The 22,361-nt window shown below is 41.7% G+C and overlaps 2 protein-coding genes across 10 annotated transcripts in view, besides 1 other annotated feature; one reads left to right on the top strand and one right to left on the bottom strand.

Annotated features, from left to right (window-relative positions):
• Positions 1-22,361, top strand: part of BLNK (B cell linker) — an 82,399-nt gene that overhangs the window by 49,213 nt on the left and 10,825 nt on the right. For 4 of the 9 annotated variants that reach the window (NR_047682.2, NR_047681.2, NM_001258441.2 and 1 more), the window contains 8 exons: positions 5,623-5,704; positions 12,450-12,519; positions 14,458-14,485; positions 15,304-15,346; positions 17,741-17,825; positions 18,269-18,300; positions 21,299-21,375; positions 22,199-22,282. Coding sequence is in view for 5 of the 9 variants with exons in the window: in NM_001258441.2 (NP_001245370.1) it covers positions 5,623-5,704; positions 12,450-12,519; positions 14,458-14,485; positions 15,304-15,346; positions 17,741-17,825; positions 18,269-18,300; positions 21,299-21,375; positions 22,199-22,282 (501 nt within the window). In the remaining 4 variants the exon portion in view is untranslated. Of the gene's footprint in view, positions 1-5,622; positions 5,705-6,967; positions 7,037-12,449; positions 12,520-14,457; positions 14,486-15,303; positions 15,347-17,740; positions 17,826-18,268; positions 18,301-21,298; positions 21,376-22,198; positions 22,283-22,361 lie in introns of all 9 variants that reach the window. The other 5 variants (NR_047680.2, NM_001258440.2, NM_013314.4 and 2 more) reach the window with 3 other exon arrangements.
• Positions 153-652: an enhancer, noted in NCBI's record as "H3K4me1 hESC enhancer chr10:97981461-97981960 (GRCh37/hg19 assembly coordinates)". NCBI's record gives its function as "activates a minimal SCP1, AML or CMV promoter by ChIP-STARR-seq in naive H9 embryonic stem cells {active_cell/tissue: H9 hESC(naive)}" and the evidence as "EXISTENCE:reporter gene assay evidence [ECO:0000049][PMID:30033119]".
• The window catches only part of ZNF518A (zinc finger protein 518A), a 75,577-nt gene continuing 70,281 nt past the window's right edge, over positions 17,066-22,361 (bottom strand). The window contains exons 4-5 of the transcript NR_138482.1: positions 18,729-18,783; positions 17,066-18,437 (exon numbers count right to left, since the gene is read on the bottom strand). The gene's annotated coding sequence lies outside the window, so the exon portion shown is untranslated. The remainder of the gene's footprint in view (positions 18,438-18,728; positions 18,784-22,361) is intronic.

Raw genomic sequence — 22,361 nt, 5'->3', positions numbered from 1 at the left:
AAACTTATGGCTTACACACATGTTGTGAAATGACCTTCATTCCGCCTTTATAAAATTTGCAGCCCAGCAGGAGATGGAAAAGATGGACTTTTAAATAAAAATAGATGCAGCATCTAGGCCCAAATTCCTGCTTTGGCCCTTCTAGGTGTATGATTTGGGGCAAGCTAGACAACTTCTATGAGTCTGTTTTTCATCTCTGTTATTTTGAGAATTTAATAAAAGAACATATGTACAGCACTAAATACAGTGCCTCACACACAGAGGGGTTTAATATATGTCGGATTCCTTTCTACCATATTCTAGAGCCTTGACAAAATCCAGTTTTCTAGTTTCTTCTGAAAACTGAAGATCTAGCAACACCAGGCCAGCCATGGCCTCAAAGCAACTGGGCCCCAGGGCATCCCCCTCTCTCTCAGCTGTGAATCCTGGTCTCTTTTTTGATTTGTCATAGCTCCCACAATGCATACAGTGCATGTACACACCCTCACCCTGCACACACTCCTTCTTACTATTACCTACCCATCTGAGAGGCGATGTTGTCCTTTCAAGGGTGGGAATAGGGTGGCAAAGAGAAGCTGAGCAGGGGAGGGGACAGGATGGGGAGACCAGCTGTTAGGATCTCACTGTAAATTATTTCAGCATTTGGCAATTCCACATGAAGACACAAATTCAGATATAGAATGCAGATGAATACTGTGGGTTATGTAAGGCTCTTCATTTCTGTAAATAACTGAGAATGGACCCCAGGGAGTCAGGGCAGAGGTTTGCTAATAGCAGCCTTGTGGAGGTGGCTCAGGCAAGTCTGCACCAGTGGGAAAAAGAGAAGTATGAAGGCGGGGGCGTTCTGGAATGGGCAGATAGAGAGCCAATATAAGAAAGAGGTGTAAAAACAAATAAACAAACAAACAGAAGCCAACATTAAGATATGGCTGAACCATTAGTTGGGAAAAGAAGAAGTCAAGTACAAGCATAAATAAAAGTGTTTAACCCTGCTCTGCAGGTTATAGGCAAAATACAGAGATACAGGCTAAACAGAGAGCTGGAGGTGGGGCAAAGACATTTAGGAGGAAGGAGCATCTGTGCTATAATGAGAGAGGCTAACACTTGGAGAATGTTGTGTATCCACTGGTGTTCTGAGCACTTTGTATGCATTATCTCATTAAATCCTCACACTAACCCTATGAAGTCTATCATCAGCCCCACTTTACAGATGAGGAAACAAAGGTGTAAAGGGGCTAAGAAACTTACCCAAGGTCACAGAGGGAATATATTTAGAGGGTATTTTTATAAGAATTCAATAAAATAATGTATGGAAAGCTTTTAAATGCTTATATGAGTGGTAATGAGGATGCAGCCCATGTGGGCATTTAATAGCTAATCAAAATGACTCCGGCTAAGTAATAGGGTATGAGCCGATGGGAAAGTGAAAATAAGATAAATTCACGCTACTCCTATTTTTCAAATCTGTAGTCCTAGGGGGAGGCAAACATGTAAACAATTATGACAAGTGTCTTATTAATACTGAAACATCTAAACATTGGAGTTGATCTAAGATGATTTTTAATCTATTTTTAATTTTGAATCATGTCATTGTAATAATTGAAGAAGGATTTCTAATACCTGTAGGTCATGGTAGTATAATAATCTACCTGGCTTCAAAAGACCAATCACTGATTCACTGAAGTCAAGTTTTTGTGTTTTGTTCATGAAAGAAGGGGGTTGGTATTAAAACACTGCAGCAATGTCAAAGTGGTCAATAAGACCACATTATGTCCTAATAAAGGACATAAAATGTGATGGTTCTTGGTCATTTACTTATTTCAGCAATAACAACGTTAAAGCATTGAATTGCAATGCTGGGAATATACATTTTACATTCCTTCTCCTAAAACCCTATAAAGATGAGAAAGTTGGGCAGACACTACAAACAGAATTTGTTGAGACTGGATCGAGTCTTTTTTCCTATCAGTCTTCTTTGGGAATACAAATGTCTCCATTCCAGAAATATCATTGAAGTGGCATCGTTGTCTGGGGTAAATACCTGGGGTTCGTCGTCTCGCACTGACAAGATTAATGACATGGACACGTGTGGGTGGGTTAAGGAGCAGAAAGTTTAATAGACAGAAGAAAGGAGAGAGGAGAGCATCTCTCTCTCTCTTGCAAGACAGTGGAATCTGAAGGGAAAACCAAGCCTGAGGTGGACCACAGCAGATTTTAGAGGCAGGCTTCAGGAGGTGATATCTGATTTATACAGGGTCCACAGATTGGTTTGATCAGGAGTGACATTTACATGGTGCAGAAGAGGCTGGTCGCCCCACCCTAATCTTATTATACAAATGGGTTTTCTACTTGGCCAGTGCCATCTTGTCTGCTCCTTACTGTACAGGTGGCTGGCAAAGAGAGGGGAAGACAGAGCCACCATTTTGATCATGCCTAGTCACAGGTAGCGTTTTCCTATTGGCACAACTGCCAGCATTCACCCATGCAAGCTTCCAGCTTGCTTGTCTATATCAGCAGCTTGATTTTACAGGCTACTCTTTGTTAGAAAAGAAAATGATTTTGGGGCTGCTTTTTATTAAAAGGAAAACCTTACCAAGGACATCTTACCCTCACTATCTGCCTAAGTAATTTTTTCTTAACTCCTATATCATCATGACTCTAAACAGCTCAGATTCTAAACACTGCAGATAAAAACATTTTCTGTAATCAAGCACTGCAGAACAAAACAAGTACAAAATTAAGAATACAGAGGAAAGAATACATTTTGAAGTGGTCAAGTAGGACTGGGTTAGGGCCTGGAGCTTCCAACTTCCCTATATCCATTCAGGCATCATTGCCAAGTGTCAATACCAATATTCTGTGTTCAGACATAAGATATTGAAGGATTTTGTTGACTACAGGGTTTAAGAGGGTGGCATGCCTCCTGGGGGCTCAGCCTCTCCTTTTATAGGAACTAACGCCTAGAAGAGAAGTTGGGTTCTTATAAAGCATGTCACTCTGGCTACTAATGAATCCGAAAAGGTGAACCCATAGAACCAAAAAGGTCCTGCAGGGATCCGCAGCCACTCAACATCCCATTATTCAAAGCTGCTAAGTCAGCCCATCCCAGCCTTGGCTATTGGGTTAGGCAATTTCAATTCAATTCAGTGAGGCATTCGACTGGCCAGGTACTGGAAACACAAACACAGAGAAGGAGAAGGCCCTGCCCTTCGGGAGTTCATAGTTTGACACTGTGGGGCCAGAGACGAAGCAGAGATGAGGACCAGGTTCCCTGTGCCACAGAGGAGCAAGTGCCCACCTCTGAATGGCAGAATCCAGGAGAACTTCCGATGATTCAGCAATTAACTCCCCCACAGGTCATACATCTAGAAAAGACCCAAGCACAGATTTCCTCCCAGGTCTGTATGATTCCAAAGCCTCATCTCCCTCAGCCAGATCATCTCTAAATATAACTGCAGATTGAGATGTGTGAGTAGAACTCTCTGGTGCCTCTCGGCCAGCTTCAGAGGTGAAGAAAGAGATAAGAAATAGCAATTAAATAAAGAGAGGATAGATAAGACAGAAAGAGGAGGGGGAGGATGGAAGGTACTAGAATGTGGTGGATAAAAGTATGGGTGCTAAATTATTGAACTGCTTGAGTTCAAATCCTGGATCTACCACTTTTTTTTTTTTTTTTTGGAGACAAGGTCTCATTCTGTTGCCAAGCGCAATCACAACTCACTGCAGCCTCAGCTTCCTGGGCTCAAGCAACCTTCCCACCTCAGCCTCTGGAGTAGCTGGGACTACAGGTGCATACCAATATGTTTGGCTAATTTTTCTATATTTTTTGTAGAGACAGGGTTTCACCATGTTGCCCAGGCTGGTTTTGAACTCCTGGACTCTTATCTATCCACCTGCCTCAGCCTCCCAAAGTTCTGGGATTACAGGCACGAGCCACTGTGCCCTTCTGGGTCTACCACTTTTAAACTTGACAACTTGAGCAAACTACTTAATTTTTCTGTGCCTCAGTTTCTTCATCTGGAAATGGAGCCAATGGTGATATCTCTCTTATTGTGTTGTTAGAGGATTAAATGAGAAAAAAAACATGTAAAGTACTTAGAAGAACACCTGGCAATAAATTTTTGTTTTTGTTTCTCCTAGTACCCTTCTTGGCTGCCCACCAGGGCAGGTGGTAAAAACCAGTTTTGAGATCTGGTTACCTCATTTGTGTCTTGTCAATATAAAATCTCTCCCTCCCTGCATTTATCGTCATTTAATTATTGACAAAAGTGCTAAGACGATTCAATAGAGAAATACTTTTTTAAAACAAATAGTGCTAGGTAAATGGTGCTAGATGTATCCACAGGCAAAAGAATGAAACTGGACTTCTAATCTCGCACCATACACAAAAATTAACTGAAAATGTAGCATAGACCTAACTGTAAGAGCTAAAACTGTAAAACTCTTAGAGGAAAACACAGATATGAGTCTTTATGGCTTTGGGTTAGGCAATGGTTTCTTGGATATGACATCAAAAGTACAAGCAATAAAAGAATAAATAAAACAGACTTCAAAATTTAAACGTTTTGTGCCACCAATGATACCAATAAGAAAGTAAAAAAGTAACCTACAGAATGGAAGAAAAGTTTTGTAAATTGTATATCTGATGAAGAACTTATAACTAGAATATATAGATAACTCTTATAACTCAATAAAAAGATAAACAACCCAATTAAAAATGGGCAAAGATTTGAATAGACATGTCTCCAAAGAATATACAAAAATTGACAATAAGTATATAAAAAGATACTCAACATCATTAGTCTTCAGGGAAATGCAAATCAAAACTATAATGAGATATCATTTTGCACACACAAGGATGGCTGTAATAAAAAGGATGATAACAAGTGTTGGTGAGGATATGAAAAAACTGGAGCCCTCATACATTGCTGGCAGGAATGAAAAATGGTGCAGCCTCTTTGGAAAACAGTTTGGCAGTTTCTCCGACTGTTAAACTTAGAGCTACCATATGACTCAACAATTTCACTTCTAGGATATTCCCAAGAGAAATGCATGTCTACACAAAAACTTGTACATGAATAGTCATGACACCATTATTCATTACAGCCAAAAAGTGGAAAAAAACTCAAATGTCCATCAGCTGATGAATGGATAAACAAATGTGGCATACTCATAAAATAGACTATTATTTGGCCATAAAAAGACGGGAGTTGTGATACATACTATACCACAGGAAAACCTTGAAAACATTATACTAAGTGAAAGAAGTCTCAAAAGACTACAGATTGTGTGATTCCGTGCATATTCAATGTCCAGAATGGGCAAAATCTATAGAGAAAGAAAGTAGATTTGTGGTCGACTAGGTCAAGGAAGCGGTGGATGGGGAGTGACTAATGGGTGCAAGGTTTCTTTTTGCATAAAAATGTCCTAAAATTAGATTGTGGTGATGGTTGTATATGTCTGTGAATATACTAAAAGTCACCAAATTGTACAATTTACATAGTAGAATTTTATGATATGTGAATTGCGTCTCAATAATGCTTTTTAAAAAAATCACTCCCTCCCATACAGTCAACTATGAATGTACAGCATTCTTCTCATTCAGTTTTGTATTTCTGTTAGGCTGATTATGTGGTCCCCGTGGAAGATAATGATGAAAACTATATTCATCCCACAGAAAGCAGTTCACCTCCACCTGAAAAAGGTAAGAGTTTGTCGCCTTAAGCACCTGAAAATTTTTAGCAGTTGATCAGGATGTATAAGAGTATTTGGTAGTAAGCACTAAGAGGCTCAGAAATGACAGTGCCCAGGACTTTCTCCCCTGGGCCACAGTGTGTGCTTCTTTGGCTGGTTGGGCAGACAGCATCAGTGACAACCCATCTCTGTGTATCATAGCCCTTCCCTGCCTTCCCCTTCCTCTTCCATGCTTTAATCTTCCCATCTCACATTATGAAAGCACCTGGGTAGTTCTCTTCAGCTGCCCTCGCTTCAAATGGATTTCTCATAAAACCTAATACAATGTCACAAGCCACCATGTTGGCCTTGTAAACATTGCACCAAGAACAGTTTCTGCAGAGGAGTGAAAAAATGAAAGAGTGAAATATGCCCTGAGTCCTGGTTCTTTAAATTTAGTAGTATGATAAGCCTATGAAACATTTCATCCGTAAACCCTTCACAGAACAACAAATGCTATGACCAATGAATTACCTTAAAAAGCCAGTGCTACATAAGATTAGGCATGGAAACAGGGTATGTTTACTCTGAATATAGTCACTATGGAGAATATGATCCAGTACAAGTGATACCTCTTCAGGTAACATTACTCATCTACTACTCTCAACTCCATGGTAGCCATATTCAGGTTTCAGTCCGCCATCATGTAGCAACCCTCTCCCGTACTCCGTACCTATCACCAACAGCTTCAAGACCCACCTGAATTCCCAAGCCACCCATTACCACAAAAGAACAAATACACATTCCCTCCTTACCAACCCCTCTTTAAAAAAACAAAAAAGAACAGAAAAAAACCCATGAAATCCCAGAGCAATGGTGTGTATTGCATCTGGTAGGGGAGGTGGAGCTATTAATTGGGCCCCTCCAGTAAGGGGTTCAATACACTCTTGATGAAAAACAAAAACAATAAAACTCCTTTATCTCTTAGACCTCCCACTTGGCAAATGAAATTCAAAGCCATTATTCACTTTAACAAGATCTCTATCATCAAATAATCAAATAATAATATATCAAATTATGAATCTGTCATTGATATTCCCATTCTAAAGATGTTTCTTCTAAGAAGACTTCTTTTATTGGTTTGTGTGTCTAATAAGGGTGTCTCCCATTCTTTGCAAATTCTCTGGTCTGGTCATCATTTTTCCCTGAGTGTGAATTTTCCTCAATGGCATGTATCTGTAATGGTTTTATGTATATATATATATATATATACACACACATTTCTGTGTTTAAGCTCCCATGGTGAATAGATCAACCAAGCCAAATTCCTCAACGCCCGCCTCTCCTCCAGGAACAGCTTCAGGTAAAGTGTATGTGTGATTTGGTTTGGTTTTACGTCTATTTCAAATAAGAAAAACAGATCAACTATGAAGAGTAATCACTTGTATTTCCAAATGTCTTAATATTGGGAACAGAAGGCCAGTCCTCATCCTCATGCACTGTCTGGTGGCACGTGTGTGGAAGTGGCCATTTCCCCAGGCCTTTTGGCATCTGCTAGACAAGTTCTGGTTTTCACCCTACCTTCCTGGGCACCTTGCTGGCTTCTCTGTGTCCCCTTCCTTGACTGAGGGGGTCCCGGAATTTAGCCCTCAGCCCTCAACCCACAGTTCTTTCAGAACATCATGATGGTTACAAGCTTGGTTTTGAGCCAGACAGACCTCGGTTGGAACCCCAGTGTGCCCCGTTACCAGCTATGCCACCTTGGGCTTGTACTTCACCTCTCCAAGCATCAGATTTTCTTTTCTGTAAATGGTGCTCATAGCCCCTACTCTGTGACAGGAGAATTCTGCAAATGTGAATGCGAAACTCTTAATGAGTGCCTGGTACACACTAAGTGCTGAGGAGAGAGAATGATTTTTCACTTCTGTAGCGTTCATCGATTAATCTGGATTCATGTCTCAAGTCTACACTGGTAACTCCCTGGCATCCAACCCCAACCTGACTTCCCTTCTGAACACCTTGATGCTCCCACACAGGACTCTAAACTCACTCCTCCCTCCCCTGCGGGCACCCCTGTTTCTCAATGCGTAGAGCCTCCAGGCCACATGCTCCAAATCCTGCTTTTTTTTCTCCTGAATTTGCTGTTCCATTTTAGCTGTGACCACCCTAGTCTGGGCTTTCTTTACTCAGCCACCTTGCACCTTCTTGTCCAGCAGCCATACCCCTGCCTCTTGGCTCTCTCCTCAGCGACAAGGACTGAGCCGCTGAACTCCTCCAGATGTTACCAGTTTCATCTCACCACAAAGCTAGTCTTTGCCATGTCACCCCTACCCCCAAACCATGAATGTTCCTGGTTGCTCCTATAGGTTTTGGCAACCCCCAAGGCTGAGCCCAAGACACTGAGGGGTGCCCATGACCCCCATTAACAGCACAGAGAGGTGTAGGAGCCTGCTCTCCAGCATTCTCACAGGCATTTCCTCTCCCTCTCTCCCCTTGTCCCTCTCCCCTAGGCACACATATGCGCGTGTGCACACACACACACACATTCATACACACACACTCTCTTCTCTCACAGAGCTGAACACAAGTCATTGAGAGGCTGAGCTCTGCTTCCAGAGACAGGCTCCTTCACAGAAAATGAAAGAACAGTCGAGTATTTTAAAAATCTTTTCCTGGACTCATTTCTTGTGAAATTATTCACTTTCTTCACAAGTTCTGGTTTTACTTAACCTCTCCTCAGAACCCACAAGCGCTTTATAAGTGGGGAGTGGAGCTCAGAGCCATCTTAGCCAGCTCATCTTACCCTCTGGAGAGACAAAGGTCAAACATGCCAATCTAAAACATCGTGACCAGGTTGCTTAGGCCCCAGCAGAAATGGAGACTCCTAACTCCCGATAACTCAGGATGAGGGCTGTTGTTACTGGAATAGAAAACCTTTAACAAATAAATAAATGAAGACCTCAACCCTCCTTTAGAGAAATAGATTACTAATATCTGGTGTTTACCTCTTACAAAGCTCTACTTGCCTTACAAGGACCTCCTCTTCCTAAAACACACTGCCTTACAAGCACCTCCTCTTCCTAAAACACACCCAGTACTCCAATCAGCCTGTATGTCACGGGTCTTGCTTCTTGGTCTTTGTGTTCTCACTTTTAGGACACCTAATCCTACTCATCCTTCAAGGCCCAGCTTGAGGCCTCCACCTCCAGGAAGACTCCTCTGGTTTCTGTAGCCCTCAGAGAGCTCTCCTTTGCAGGAAGTCTCTTCCCCCTTACACTTAGCCCGTACTTATTCCCTAATTACTTTGTGTCTCAGTCTAATCGCTTCCTAAGTACATTGCAAGCTCCTTGGAGACCTTGCCTTCAATGTCATTGCTCAGGAGGCTTTACCTGGCCCCAAGCTGGGACAGATCCCTCTAGTGCCCTGCACATGCCCTGAGATTTCTGTCTTTATTTGCTCACAGCTGTTTCCAGGGCCTACCCCAGGATCTGGCTCAGGGGAGGTGCCGAGACTGTGGAGGGGTCAGTTGGTTGAGAGGGTGAATGAGTCCTCAAACACTGGTTGTATTAAATATTTAAAGAATCACCAACAGGGCTTTAGCCAGCTGGATTTATTACTCATAAGTTTGCTATTAACCTGGTATAGCTGTATTTTAATACTAGGGTCATCAGATGAAGAAAGCAAATCTAAACAAGAAAATAATGTCCTGGTTATGTGATTATCACATACAGGTGGGAGTACCTACAGGAAGGGGGAAGAAGTGAAATAATTTTGAAGGGACAAGCCTAAACAGTCCGAGTGGGTTTCCGAGTGTGCAAACAGTGGAACCTTCAGAGATTATTTTTACAAAAGAAATGATCAGACTACTAGCCTGTGTCTTTGAATAACCATCCATTCCCCTTTAAAGGCTTCAGATAGTCCCCCAGTGGGCATCACAAAAGTGTCCATCAGGTGCCTAGTTGGTGTTTCTGTCAAAGCACCACACCACATCAGTTTCCTCTGGTCAATATTGCTCTTGGTCCTTTGATAGCCAATAAGGTGCCTGCCGAGGGTGATATAGTAAATCTGGTGCAGTGACAGCCCCTGCCGTCCCCGCTGTGCTTGAGAAGCCAGTAGAATGGATTTAGCCGACTCCAAAGCCAGAGGTTTAGGTCCTGGCTCTGACATTTGCTAGGTGCCGGACTTTGAACAAGTGAAGTCATCTCTGTTTCTTAGTTTCTTCCTCTGAAAAAATGGCACCTATGCCTAGGGGTATCATGAGTAGATACCATGAGAATTAAGTGACTCAATATAGATGACTTGCACTCATAAAATGCTAGTGCTTTGTTATTATTATTGTTATTATTCAGAATCCCTTGTTCAACCTGCCTTGATCCATGACCATTCTGGCAGATATTATCAGGGAACAATATTGTTTCATGGGCCAGTGACCCATGAAGAGTCATGCTCCATCCTTCCCTAGAACTCTGTCTTCCTGAGGCAAGACCATAGGCTTTCCACCAGTGTCCTCCGTGACAGTGTTCCACCATGACAATCATGCTGTCCTCTGATTGTCAGAAGTTATTTATAGGGAAGGAAAGGAAAAGGAAGGTTTTGGCAGACTATTCTGAGATATGCAAGAAAAGGAAGCATAGTAGAAAAGCCAGGAGGAAGGTCTGACAAAGATAATATAGTGGCCAAAGGAGCCCTTAACATTTCAGAAGAGGGAAAACCCCTGGGATGAAATTCAGACTTAGACCTTCTTTCTACTTCCTTATTTTTCATACAAGATTTTGTTCCACTTCCCTGAGATCTTCCATCAAATTCTATTGCAGTCAAGGGTACTTTAACAGTGTCAGTCTTAAGTATTCAATTTGATACACCAGTTACTTAAACACAGGGAGACTCCTACTACACATTCAGGTGACATTTCAGTTTATTGTTTTCATGTTGTCACATGAAATGTAAACATTCCAAACGCAATCTCTTTTCCAAAATGTTTCAAAAAATCAGACCCAGTTCAGGTACCGTGGAAGACAGCTGTCATGGAGGGGGCATTGCTTCCCAGGGTGCTGGGGAAGGCTTCCAGGTACAATCCACACCACCCACTCTTTGCTGTTGCTCCCATCCTTGAGGGTTTAGGAAAAGAGTCAGTGGGCTCTGAGTAGAAGCCTGGGAGCCTCTCTCCAGTGACATACATGGGAAGGAACTTCCTGAACTCTATTTCAATACTTTTTGAGGCCTTTTCTTTTTCTTGTCTGTGTTTGGATGAGATGATATGGAGGGTGCATGTATCTTCCCTGTTATAAATTCTGAGAGGGCAGAGGCCTATGTCTGCTTCTTCACCTCTTCCTCGGCCCCTAACACAGTGCCTTCATGTGCTTTACATGTACCAAGTCCTCAATAATCCTTGGTAATGGATTATTATTTCAATGTGTGCTTATCTGTGCTCTATCTCATAAACTAAGAAAGTACAGACTGAGGGCAGCAGGTCCAGCCTGTACTTACAGAGTATGCCCTATAAATCCATTAGGAATTATAGGCCAGGCACCGTGGCTCATTCCTGTAATCCCAGCACTTTGGGAGACCAAGGCAGGTGGATGGATTGAGTCCAGGAGTTCAAGGCCAGCCTGGGCAACATGGCAAAATCTCATCTGGACAAAAAATTAGCCAGGTGTGGTGGTGCATGCCTGTAGTCCCAGCTACTCAGGAGCTACTTAGTGGGGAGGATCACTTGAGTCCAGGAGTTTGAAGCCTCCAGTAAGCTGTGATCTCCCCACTGCACTCCAGCCTGGGTGACAGAACAAGACCCTGTCTCAAAAAAAAAAAAAAAAAAAAAAACGGAATTGTGGACTTGTATGTGTAGTAAGTTCTTAAGAAAACATTTATTCAGTTCAGTTAAGTTAATGAAGAGCCTCATGAAGAGACCCCTTGGTCTCACTGAGCAATGGTGTCCAAGCAGGTGAGCATCATGTCTGAGGCAGCTAGGGGATGCTGAGGGGGCTGGCTCAGCTCTGGCCTCTCCCCTCCTGGCCTGCCCTCTGTCCCACAGTGAAGATCCATCCTGCTTCTCTTTCACTTCCTCCCTCATAACGATTGTCTGGCATCTATCTTCAGGTACAGGAAGGGAGGTTGGGTGCAGGGGACAAGACCCTTCGGGTCCCTTCTATGACTTGAGAAGATGAGATTTGGGCAGCAGCCTGCACTTGTCTCAATTTGTCCATTAAGGAAAACCTGTCGGCGAAAGCCCTTGAAAACTCAGAGATGAGTGAGTAAATATCCTCTGAATGTGAAGTTAGAGGCATTTACCGTATTTAAGTGTGCTTATAAAGGAGCACTGTCTGAGGTCTGTGTCAGGAGTGGTGGGTTGGAGCCTCTGTCTCTGGGCACCTCTGCCGTGCACATTTGTGCAGTGTGCACAGATGTAGGTGTGAGCTGTTGGCTCCCTTCCTGAAGGACCTCTGTGGGGGTCCTCACTGAGTCCTCAGAATCAGTGGGCTCAGGACTTGCCCCATGGGGCAGGGGGCGGGTAAGGAGAAGGTCCTTTAGAAATGTTAAGGTGGAGTCCCTAACCCCCATCCCAGCTCTGAGCTTATACACTGACACTTTTAAAATGTGTCATCACCTTTGCCCACAAGTTTTCCTTAATAGCTTCAATATAACTACCTATATGTGCTTAACTGAAAGCAACACAGTATGTGCAAATATTTCTGAGCCTGCCAGAGAGGCCAGCCTCAGTGTGAGCATCAGCCCCCGGCTCAGGACTTGGGGACTGAGTAGTGTATATGTTTGTGCAGGTCGAAACAGTGGGGCCTGGGAAACCAAGTCACCTCCACCAGCTGCACCATCCCCGTTGCCACGGGCCGGGTAAGTACCTGTTGCAGGAAGCAGCTTTTGAGATCTGGGGAGTGAGGATGGTGATACCCCACTGCCCTGTTGACTTCATTAGAAGTTCTCCCCATGGCAGGCTGCAACTTGGACCAAGAGTAAGGAGCCCTGCTAACATCAAATGAGCCAGGCATGGTGGCTCAGGCCTGTCATCCCAGCACTTTGGGAGGCCAAGGCGGGCAGCTCACTTGAAGCCAGGAGTTCAAGACCAGCCTGGCCAACATGGCGAAACCCCGTCTCTACTAAAAATACAAAAATTAGCCAGGCGTGGTGGCACACACCTGTAATCCCAGCTACTTGGGAGGCTGAGGCAGGAGGATCACTTGAACCTCTGCAGGTTGCAGTGAGCTGAGATCACAGCACTGCACTCCAGCCTGGGCAACAGAGCAAGACTCCATCTCAAATAAATAAATAAATGAATAAATAAATAAATAAATAAATAAATCTAGAAGTATTTCCTCCTGTGAAGTTTTAGTTAAGTCTTGAGTTCACTAACTTACAGTGTTCCACAAGACACCCTGACTTTCAGAAGCTCCAGCACCTGAATCATTTTCAGAGCCTCTAGCAGGTTTTGTCTTTACTTACTGCTGCTCAGTTTTATGGTCTGTAAATAAGTGTGTAGATATATACTATGTGCTGGTCATACCAGGGCACTCCCTCAAAGCCATACGACTGAAGTTCCTCTCGAAAGTGACAGTCATTCTTTCTTATTGAATTTAGAAGGGCTTTGTAAACAGTCAGGTGACGATTGTAATGTGTTAATATTACAAACGTCACCCCGTAAAATTATGTTGGCTCAACAGGTTATTTGGAAAGCAAATTTAAATATGTCTAAAGCTGGCCTGAATGGCTCTAATCTTATTTCTGTCTCTGTGTAAACCAAAGAAAGCCTCCATGTTGAAGGTTTATTAACCAAAACTCTGCATACGTCTCTCTTAGTTCAGCTGTATCACTTTGGGCAAACTACTTCGTCTCTCTGAGCCTCAGTTTCCTCACCTTAAAATGTCACTGTAAGGTTTAAATAGCACCTGAGGAGCCTAACCCAGTGCCAGGCATCTTACAGGTGCTCAGGAATTCTTAGTGTTCTTCCCCCACACTTCAGCTCTCAGCCGAAAACAAAGCGAGAGAGAGATATGGTGAGGGTTTTTAAATTAAGAAATTTAACACACAGAAAAGGAGCATACAACCTTACCAATATTAGACTCCAGTCTCTATTGGAATCTTGAGTTCATTGACTTACAGTGTTCCACAAGACACCCCGACTTTCAGAAGCTCCAGCACCTGAATCATTTTGCAAACTAGAATGTTAGTGCAGGCAAGTACCTTCAGGACCACACATCAGTGGTTTTCAAACTTGTTTTGGTTTCGGATCTCTCTGAAAGAAAGCCTGCACAGAAGACAGTGGAGAATAGTCCCTAGAGACAGGGAGGAAGCTGGAGTGGGCAAGTGCAGCTGCAACCTCACCTGCTGGACCACCCTCTTACCTCTACCCTCTGTCCTGGACAGTAACCCCCACAGGGAGCTGTTGGGGAAGAGGGGGCTCCACAGAAACACTGAAAATACTGATCCTGGTCCTCAATTGACAGGTGAGGAATCTAACCTCACACTCAAGACAAAGAGGCCCAAGGTCACCCGCCAAGTAATTAGTGCAACTGGTGCAAGAGTCCAGTTCTGCCGGACTGGTGCCCTACTTTATCCCCAGTTGACCCCTTCCCCATCTGTCAGCAGACTCCATCTGAGCCTAGGAGGATCATAACTAAATCCCACTTCCATCCCTCTCCACCCTGCAAGGATAGTCTTCTACACACTTGTATCGCTTTCATAATTCTAGCTTAAATTTGAGACTAAAATAATGGTAAATAGCTCCATTTTGTCTTCGTTGTGTTTTAACAAAGCTCATCTCTTTTTATTCCCCAGGAAAAAACCAACGACACCACTGAAGACAGTAAGTTAATTTTGCATTTAAAAGTGCTTCATATTTCCTGCAGTGTTTATTCTTATCCATTTATTTAAAGTTGAAAATGCTTCCAGCTATGGTGAACACAGCAATCTTAGCAACTGAAGTTGCTGCCCAAGCAGTCCAAGAGAAGCTTCAAATCCTCAGGTAGCCAGGGAGGATGCTCCTCCCTGGAGCATAGAAGGAGCTCATCCTCACTTGATCCCAGCAGCTTCACTGAGTGTGCGCAGCAGATCAGAGGGGCAGCCAGGTTCCCTGCCCTCTCCACAGGAAGCGTCTGTGTCCACTCCCCACCACAGCTAATGGTAGACCATTGTGTATCAGGCACACATAGGCCTCACTAAACTCAGATTCTGGCCAGAACATGGTGAACCTGGGCCACAACACTACATAAGGGAGCCCACCTGGACCTAGTCCCTACTGTGAAGCCTGACATTTACAATCATTTAGCAAACACACAGAAGGGGGGGGTCATGAGACCAAAGCAGATGCCAGATGCCTGCTGTACATGGGTTACTATGTGGCAGCTGCTGGGGGGGTCATGATTTCCATCAACCCTGTTGACAAGGCAGGGAGGTTTCTCCACCACAGTGACATTGCTCCTTCATAGGACACTTCTGGCTGTTTGTTGCTTAATGCAAAGGTTGGGCTAGGGACTGTGGGTTTGTAATTGTTGTTGTGATTGAAAGAATAGCAATGCATCAAAGAAAAGTGCTGCCAAAATATTTATTTTAATAATATTGCTCTGACATTTATTTCCACATTCTGCTATATTGAATAACCTTGCCTTTTTTTCTTTTACATAGACTCCAGTTGCCTCTCAACAGAATGCTTCAAGTGTTTGTGAAGGTAAAATCTATTATTTTGAAGGATGAGCATGTCCTCTAAAAGTTATTTTATTAAGGATTTGTATGTACACATTTATTACATTATTTTTGGGGCAATTGTAAACATGAAACTCAATTTTCTAAACAAAATAGTTTTTGCAATGAGCAATGAACAGCAAAACTAGCTCAGAACCTCAGCATGTTTAGAGTAGGCTACAGAATGCATGCAAAAACCTGCCTTTTGGCAGACAGATATGACTTGCCAGGCAATAGTGCTAGGACCTTACATAAATGTGAAAACTAACGTAGAGCCATTCACATGTTTTAGAACTAATAGCTTACTTAAAGTAATGAAAACTTTAAAAATCTGTTTATTTGAACAAGTTCTTTTGCTAAGTTTTCAAGATAATGTTTTCAAAGTTCAATTGTCTGTCTTCTTAGTACATCTTCAATTGCTTTTCTTCCTTTTTTTTTTTTTTTTTGAGTTAGGGTCTCACTTTGTAGCCCAGACTGGAGTGCAGTGGTGCATAATTATAGCTCACTGCAGCTTCAAATTCCTGGGCTCAAGTTGTCTTTCTGCCTCAGCCTCCTGAGTAATTTAGAATTTCTTCCTTTATCATCACTCAAAAATCTTATATATATTTTTAGAAACTGCTCATGTTAAAAAAAATTGTGTTTGGAAATTACCGGAAAAAAATAGAAGAATCATCTATAATATCAGCACTTAAAACATTATATAGAAGTTCATGCCCTGTACCCATTTAATTCCATACTTGAAGATACCCAGGGTTAAAAATGTAGTGAGTATTCTCCCTCTTCCCTGAGTTGATGTGCGTATATCTACATAAAGCACTCTCCTTTCTCTGATGATGGACAGTGGATCTTTTCTGAGCATGCACTACAACTCACCTCTCTGCTTTAATGACGCCATTAGGTTTTTTCATCCTGTCTCCCATATCTTGCTTCCCTAGGCTATTTCTGAGGCATCACCCCTTTTCTGCTGTATTGCTTTCTTCTGCCTTCCCTTTGAGGCTTTTGTCTTTTCTGTACTTCCATTCCTTGCAGCCTCTCAGACCTGCTGAGTCCAGGTTGTGGAGTGATAGTGACTTCAGGAGCTCTGAGCATCTGTAGGAAGTAAGTACAACCTGTGCAGACTTCATGGCTACAAGAGCCTCCAAAATCCAGGAAAGAAGCAGGGCCCAAGGCATGTCCACTGCTGCTTAGGTGTCCTCATTCTCAAAGGGTTCCCAGTACAGGAGCCTGCCAGGCATGCCCCCTCCTTTGTTATTTATTTCAAGAGCATAGGCAATTACCATCCAAATGCAAAGTGAGTGAGTGGCCTCTACTAGCCTAGGAAGGAATCAGGATGGCGGAGGCAGAGCAGGTGTAGTCAAAGCTTATAGGCTGGCAAGACCTAAGGTGTTCATTGTTTCTCCTTCTGAAATTACCAAGTTTTAATGTCATGAGCAAAACATCTAACATAGAGGTTTGAAGTAGCTTGCCACAAATTCAAAATACAATCTTCAGAGGTTCAAGGTTTCCAAGCTTTAGTGCACCACTGAATGGTAAGAAACCCTGACGTCTATCTTACCATTTATTTGAATCTTTGAGTTCTTACTACTTTTATTTCTTTGGGGTTTCTGTAGTTCTCAGCCTTTCTTCCATGCAGACTCACACATGAACATACCAAGATTTTAACACACCCCACCCCCCAACGACAAATTTGAGGGAGAGTAAAGTATTAAAATAATGTGTGATCACATTTATTAATGGTTCAGCAGTAGAGTTCACTATGGGCTTCAACATAAATTTCTTACACTTCAGGTTTATGCTCATTTCCCACCCTTTCCTCTTCTGCTCAGGAAAACACTGAAATGCAAGTGAGATTTACATTATTATAGGGATAACCTTGAATTTGATCCAATTAATTTTGCAAAAAGAGATCATTTATGAACTCAGTAGTGTGCCTCTTATCAGTAACACACTGCTTATACCACGTCTTATGACTAATCAAGACCCACCAGGGTGTTGTCTCCACCTGTGTGGAGGCCACATGGCAAGTAGAGGGTGAGTTGTTTAGAGGGTGGCTAAAATGTTCTCATCTTCTGGCTTCCACCTATACTCACACACTTAAAGTTTCAGGGCCCGTGGGTTCAGTCTCTATGTACATTGCCAGTGGATGAATGCAGAGGTGGTAGGATGTACCTGTAACACTGCTGGGAGGGAGTCCTGGTCCTCATAGCACAACCACATCAACAGACTGGCAAGTGCACAGATCCATGACATCTCAGTAACTAAGACATGTTCCCGGGAAGACTTCTGATCAAATTTGGTTCTTCTCAGCTGATGTTGCTGGGTTTTGGGATGAGGACAGACATTTCACTCTAATCCTAATATGATAATTTTCCTGATCCAGAAAAACCTATACCTGCTGAACGCCACCGAGGGTCAAGTCACAGACAAGAAGCTGTGCAGTCACCAGTGTTTCCTCCTGCCCAGAAGTAAGAATCCTTTCCTTTAAAGATCAGTTTCCTCTTGTTGCTGCAGGAATTAACATGTGCATTGTTTCACTGCACAGTGACACTGACTTGCAGTGCTAGGTAAAAATCCAACATTTCATTGTTTTGCAGTTACGTGTTAAAAGGTGTTGAGCAACTTTAAAATAACTGTGTAGAGTTGCAGAGACCTACTAATTGGGTTAATTATTGAACTTGACTAAAATACAATACTTTAGTCAAGATTTCCTCCTTTTTCAAAACTAAAAGGAAGAGTCTTACTTATCTTTAAGGTTTTGGTGGCTCTTTTATCTTTAGATACATTTTATTGGCCATTTGTATTGATTTATTTGTGATGTGCCTGTTCACAGCATCATCAGTGTAAACAAAAAGTCAAACTTACTCATATTGTGCTTTGTCCTTTAATTATCTGAAATTCTTTCTTGCAGACAAATCCACCAAAAACCCATACCTCTGCCAAGTAAGTACAACGAAGCCATGTAGTGTATCAGGGAGTGGTCGAGGCTGGATCCTAGAGTCTGATAGGCCTGGGTTCTAACACAGCACTGTCGCTTCCAGCTGCGTTATCCTGGCATCTTCTCCCACTTGTTTCCTTACCTGTAAAATGGGGCCAAGAATGTTTATTTCACAGAGTTGTTTTGAAAAGTAAATATATTTGAGGCAATTTTTACTTTTTTTAGTAGCGATTTAATATTTTACTGATCATGCATCCTTTTTTAACTTTTTTTTTTTTTACAAAAACAATACAGCTGTTTTCAAAATAATAAGATCAAGTAAAACAACATATGGGAAGCACCAGCTATAGTGTTTGGTTCTAAACAAATAATACCGATTTAAATTAAGTCAAAATATATTTTAAAGATCACAAAATATGTCTACAAAAGGTACCTTAAAAAGAAGATACGGCAAATATCTGGATAATTTTTCCAAGGCAAACATCACCCTAAAAATATATGAATCGGATAAGTCAGGCTCACAGAACGTAACTGCCCAAACCTTAATTTGCCTGCAACTCAATGTGGGAAAAAAAGGAAGAAAAAAACTCTGCTTTACATAGATAATTTGGGATATATTCCAAAATAATAAAGCTTAAATCCATTTAAATAAACAGTAATTGTCCACATGCAAAATTTTTATGCATTTTTTTTACTAAACATAAATTGGCTTTTTAAATTTTTAATAATATTCATCTTAAATAAATGAAACTTTTACTAGTTTTTAAAAAAAATTCTGACAACACAAAGTGAAAATGATTTGGCTACAGAAATTTATTTTTCATTATTTAAAAAGGTTTATTATACCTTTTACCGTTTTTCAAACCAAGTCATTCATTCAGTTGTTAGTGACCATATGCCGTGTGCCAGGCATTGTTCTAGGCACAGGAGATACAAGGATGAACGAAACAAATAAAGACCCTGTCCTCATGAAACTTATATTCTACTGAAGGAGACAGAGAGTAAAAATAAACGCACAAATAATATCATATCAGGTAAATGCTGAAGTGCTATAAAGAAAAATACAGCGCAGCAGCAGGGGTGGGTGGCAGAGAGTAACGGAGGCAGGGAGGGCTGCTGCTGTAGACAGGATGGTCTGAGAAGGCCTGTTCTATAAAATGGGCATAATAGCTCATTCCACAAAGAGCTGGTGAAAGGACGAGATGCACGCATGTTGAAAACAGAATAGGCCTAGCACATTCGGGTGTCAGAAAATATTAGCCATGGGTACTCTTCCAACTGCCAGAACTGCAGAAACCACAAACTGCCCTGCACTGTGCACCTAGGGAAAGTCTGTTCACTCACTCACCTTTGCTGCTCTCACCTGGGAGTGCTGTTCCCCTCCTATTAGAATACATCCTTCCTTTTGGCCCATCTTTGTTGGGCCTGCCAAGCCCTCACTGCCCCCTCCTCTTACAATGGTGGCTGCCTTCTCTAAACATCCAGGGCACTATTATCTGAAGCACTTAGTTTATCCAGAATTCTTTCTCCTGCAGATTTCCCCATCTTAATAAAGGACAACTCTGGTTGCTGTTGTCAAAAACCTTAGAGTCACCCTTGACTTCTCACTTGCTTTCTTCACACACCTTCCAGCTATTCCTTCAAAATAGATCCAGAATCCAACCACTCTCACTGCTTCCACTGCTGTGATCTGTCCAAGTCACTGTCATCTCCTGCAAGAACACCGAACTGGCCTCCCCCACTCTGCTGTTGCCACCCTCTGTTTCCAGCCCAGCAGCTGGAATGACCCTGTTAAAACATAGGCAGATCATGTTACCCCCCTGTTCAAAACCCTCCAAAAGCTTCCCTTATCATGTTCATTACAGCTCTTGAGTCATGTTAAGGGTCCACCAAGTCCTATAAATCTGGTCCCTTCATTGCCTCCTGTCTGACTGTATCTCTTACTCTTCTCCCCTTTTCTTACTGTACTCCAGGCACAGTGGCACCCTTGCTATTCCTTAGATATGCCAGGCCTTGCCTTCACAGCTCCCTCTACCCGGGACATTCTTTCCTGGGATGTCCAGTGCCTCCTCCCTCTCCACCTGCAGATCTCACCCACATATTCTTCCTTTCCTGATTTATTTTTCTTCATAGCATTTATGACCCTCTAACATTATATATATATTTTTTACTTATGTCTTTATTGCCCATCTCAATCCATTAAAATTTAAGTTCCAGGAGAGCAGGGCATTTTGCTGTTTTGTTAACTGCTGTATATCCCCAATGCCTTTGATCCATGGCAGAGAAACAAGAATGAATGAATGAATGAATGAATGAATGAATGCAGATAAGTCTTTTTCGTATTTCACATGTTTCCACATTTAGACTGTAAACTCTTTGAGGGAGTTGATGCCTGAAGTCAGCAATTCTCAGACATTTTGGTCTCAGAACCACTTTAACACTCTTAAAATAATTGTAGACCCAAAGAGCTTTGGTTTACATGTTTCTATTGATACCTAGTATTTTAAGAATTAAAACTGAGACATTTAAAACATTTATTAATCCATTTAAAAATAATATTAAACTCATTACATGTTAACATAAATAATATTTTTATGAAAAATAACTATATTTTCCAAACAAAAACAATTTAGGGAAAAGAGTGGCATTAGTTTACATTTTGTAAATCTCTTTAATGTATGTTACTGCAACATAACAGAGACTGCTGGATTCTCATCTCTGTTTCTACATTTCATCTGTTGCAATGTTTTTCTGGTGGAACTACATGAGGAAAATTGGGTTTCATAGTGATAGGTAATTCAAAAAGAAAAGACCTCTTGAACCACCTGAAAGGATTTTCGAGATTTCCAGGGGTCCTTGGACCACACTTTTGGAACCATTGCCTTAAGGATTTTTTTTGGTGGATGTGTCCCTGGCAGCACCTAGTACAGTGTTAGGGGATAGGCATAGAAAGAGTTCAAGAAATATGAAGATTAATTGAAGGACTTTTCTGATCCCTTTCAGGATTTACAGAAGGGGGAAACCCAACTGTGGATGGGCCCCTACCCAGCTTTTCATCTAATTCCACTATTTCAGAACAGGTATGAAATGAACTCTTGATGTCACTAAATTGTTACCAGGAAACTGCAGGAAAGAGCATGTCTTCTGAGAAGAAGACATTTGGAGTGAACCTTGAGAACAGAGACTGTATTTTACATCATTATGTGAACTGTCATTTGGTAATAGGGACAGAATACCCAGTTGTTGTTTTTTTTCAATGACTAAGACATTGCTCCAGTTAATGTTTCCTCAAAACTAGCAAGGAAATGTGTTTTCATTATTCTTCCTCTCACATAGATTTTATTTAAACTTTGTAATTTCCTCCAAATAGATCTGTAGAGGCTGATGATATTAAATCACATATAAGACAGCACAGTTTATAAAGGGACAGAGAAAGGACTCTGTGTGCCCTTGGGCAAGTCTTTCTAAGTTTCCATACAAATATATGTAAAAATGTAAAATACGGATAATAGCATGTGTCCTTCTTGCCTTCAAAGAAGGCATATATCCTTTCTTGCAAGAATCAAATAAAATAATATTTGTAAAAATGCTTTGGAAATTGTAAAGCACTCCACAAAGTAAGAGCAATAAGAGCACAATGGAAAGGGGGATTATTACTTATTTAGGAGAAAGAAAGAAATAATTCAGGAACCTAGCTAAGGCCAAATGAAAAAAAAATACAAAAAACAAGTTAACGGTATAATCCTTGTGTTTGATCAAAGGAAAAATAAAACTCATCTTAAAATTATTGGTGTAAATGTAGAGGCCTGTCTTGATAATGCAAATGGGTCTTTGTTTCTAGTACACAGAAATTAGAGTTAAGTAGGGACCATCCCATGCTGACCAGTGCCCTCCATTTCACAGGAAGCTGGCGTTCTCTGCAAGCCATGGTATGCTGGAGCCTGTGATCGAAAGTCTGCTGAAGAGGCATTGCACAGATCAAACAAGGTCTGATCATTTTTATTATTTATTATTTTTATTTTATTTTATTTTATTTATTTGTTTTGAGATGATGCAGTTTCACTGG

This window comes from Homo sapiens, chromosome 10, assembly GCF_000001405.40.
Source record: "Homo sapiens chromosome 10, GRCh38.p14 Primary Assembly".
Lineage (NCBI taxonomy): Eukaryota > Metazoa > Chordata > Mammalia > Primates > Hominidae > Homo > Homo sapiens.
This window is presented reverse-complemented; position numbering and strand designations above follow the sequence as displayed.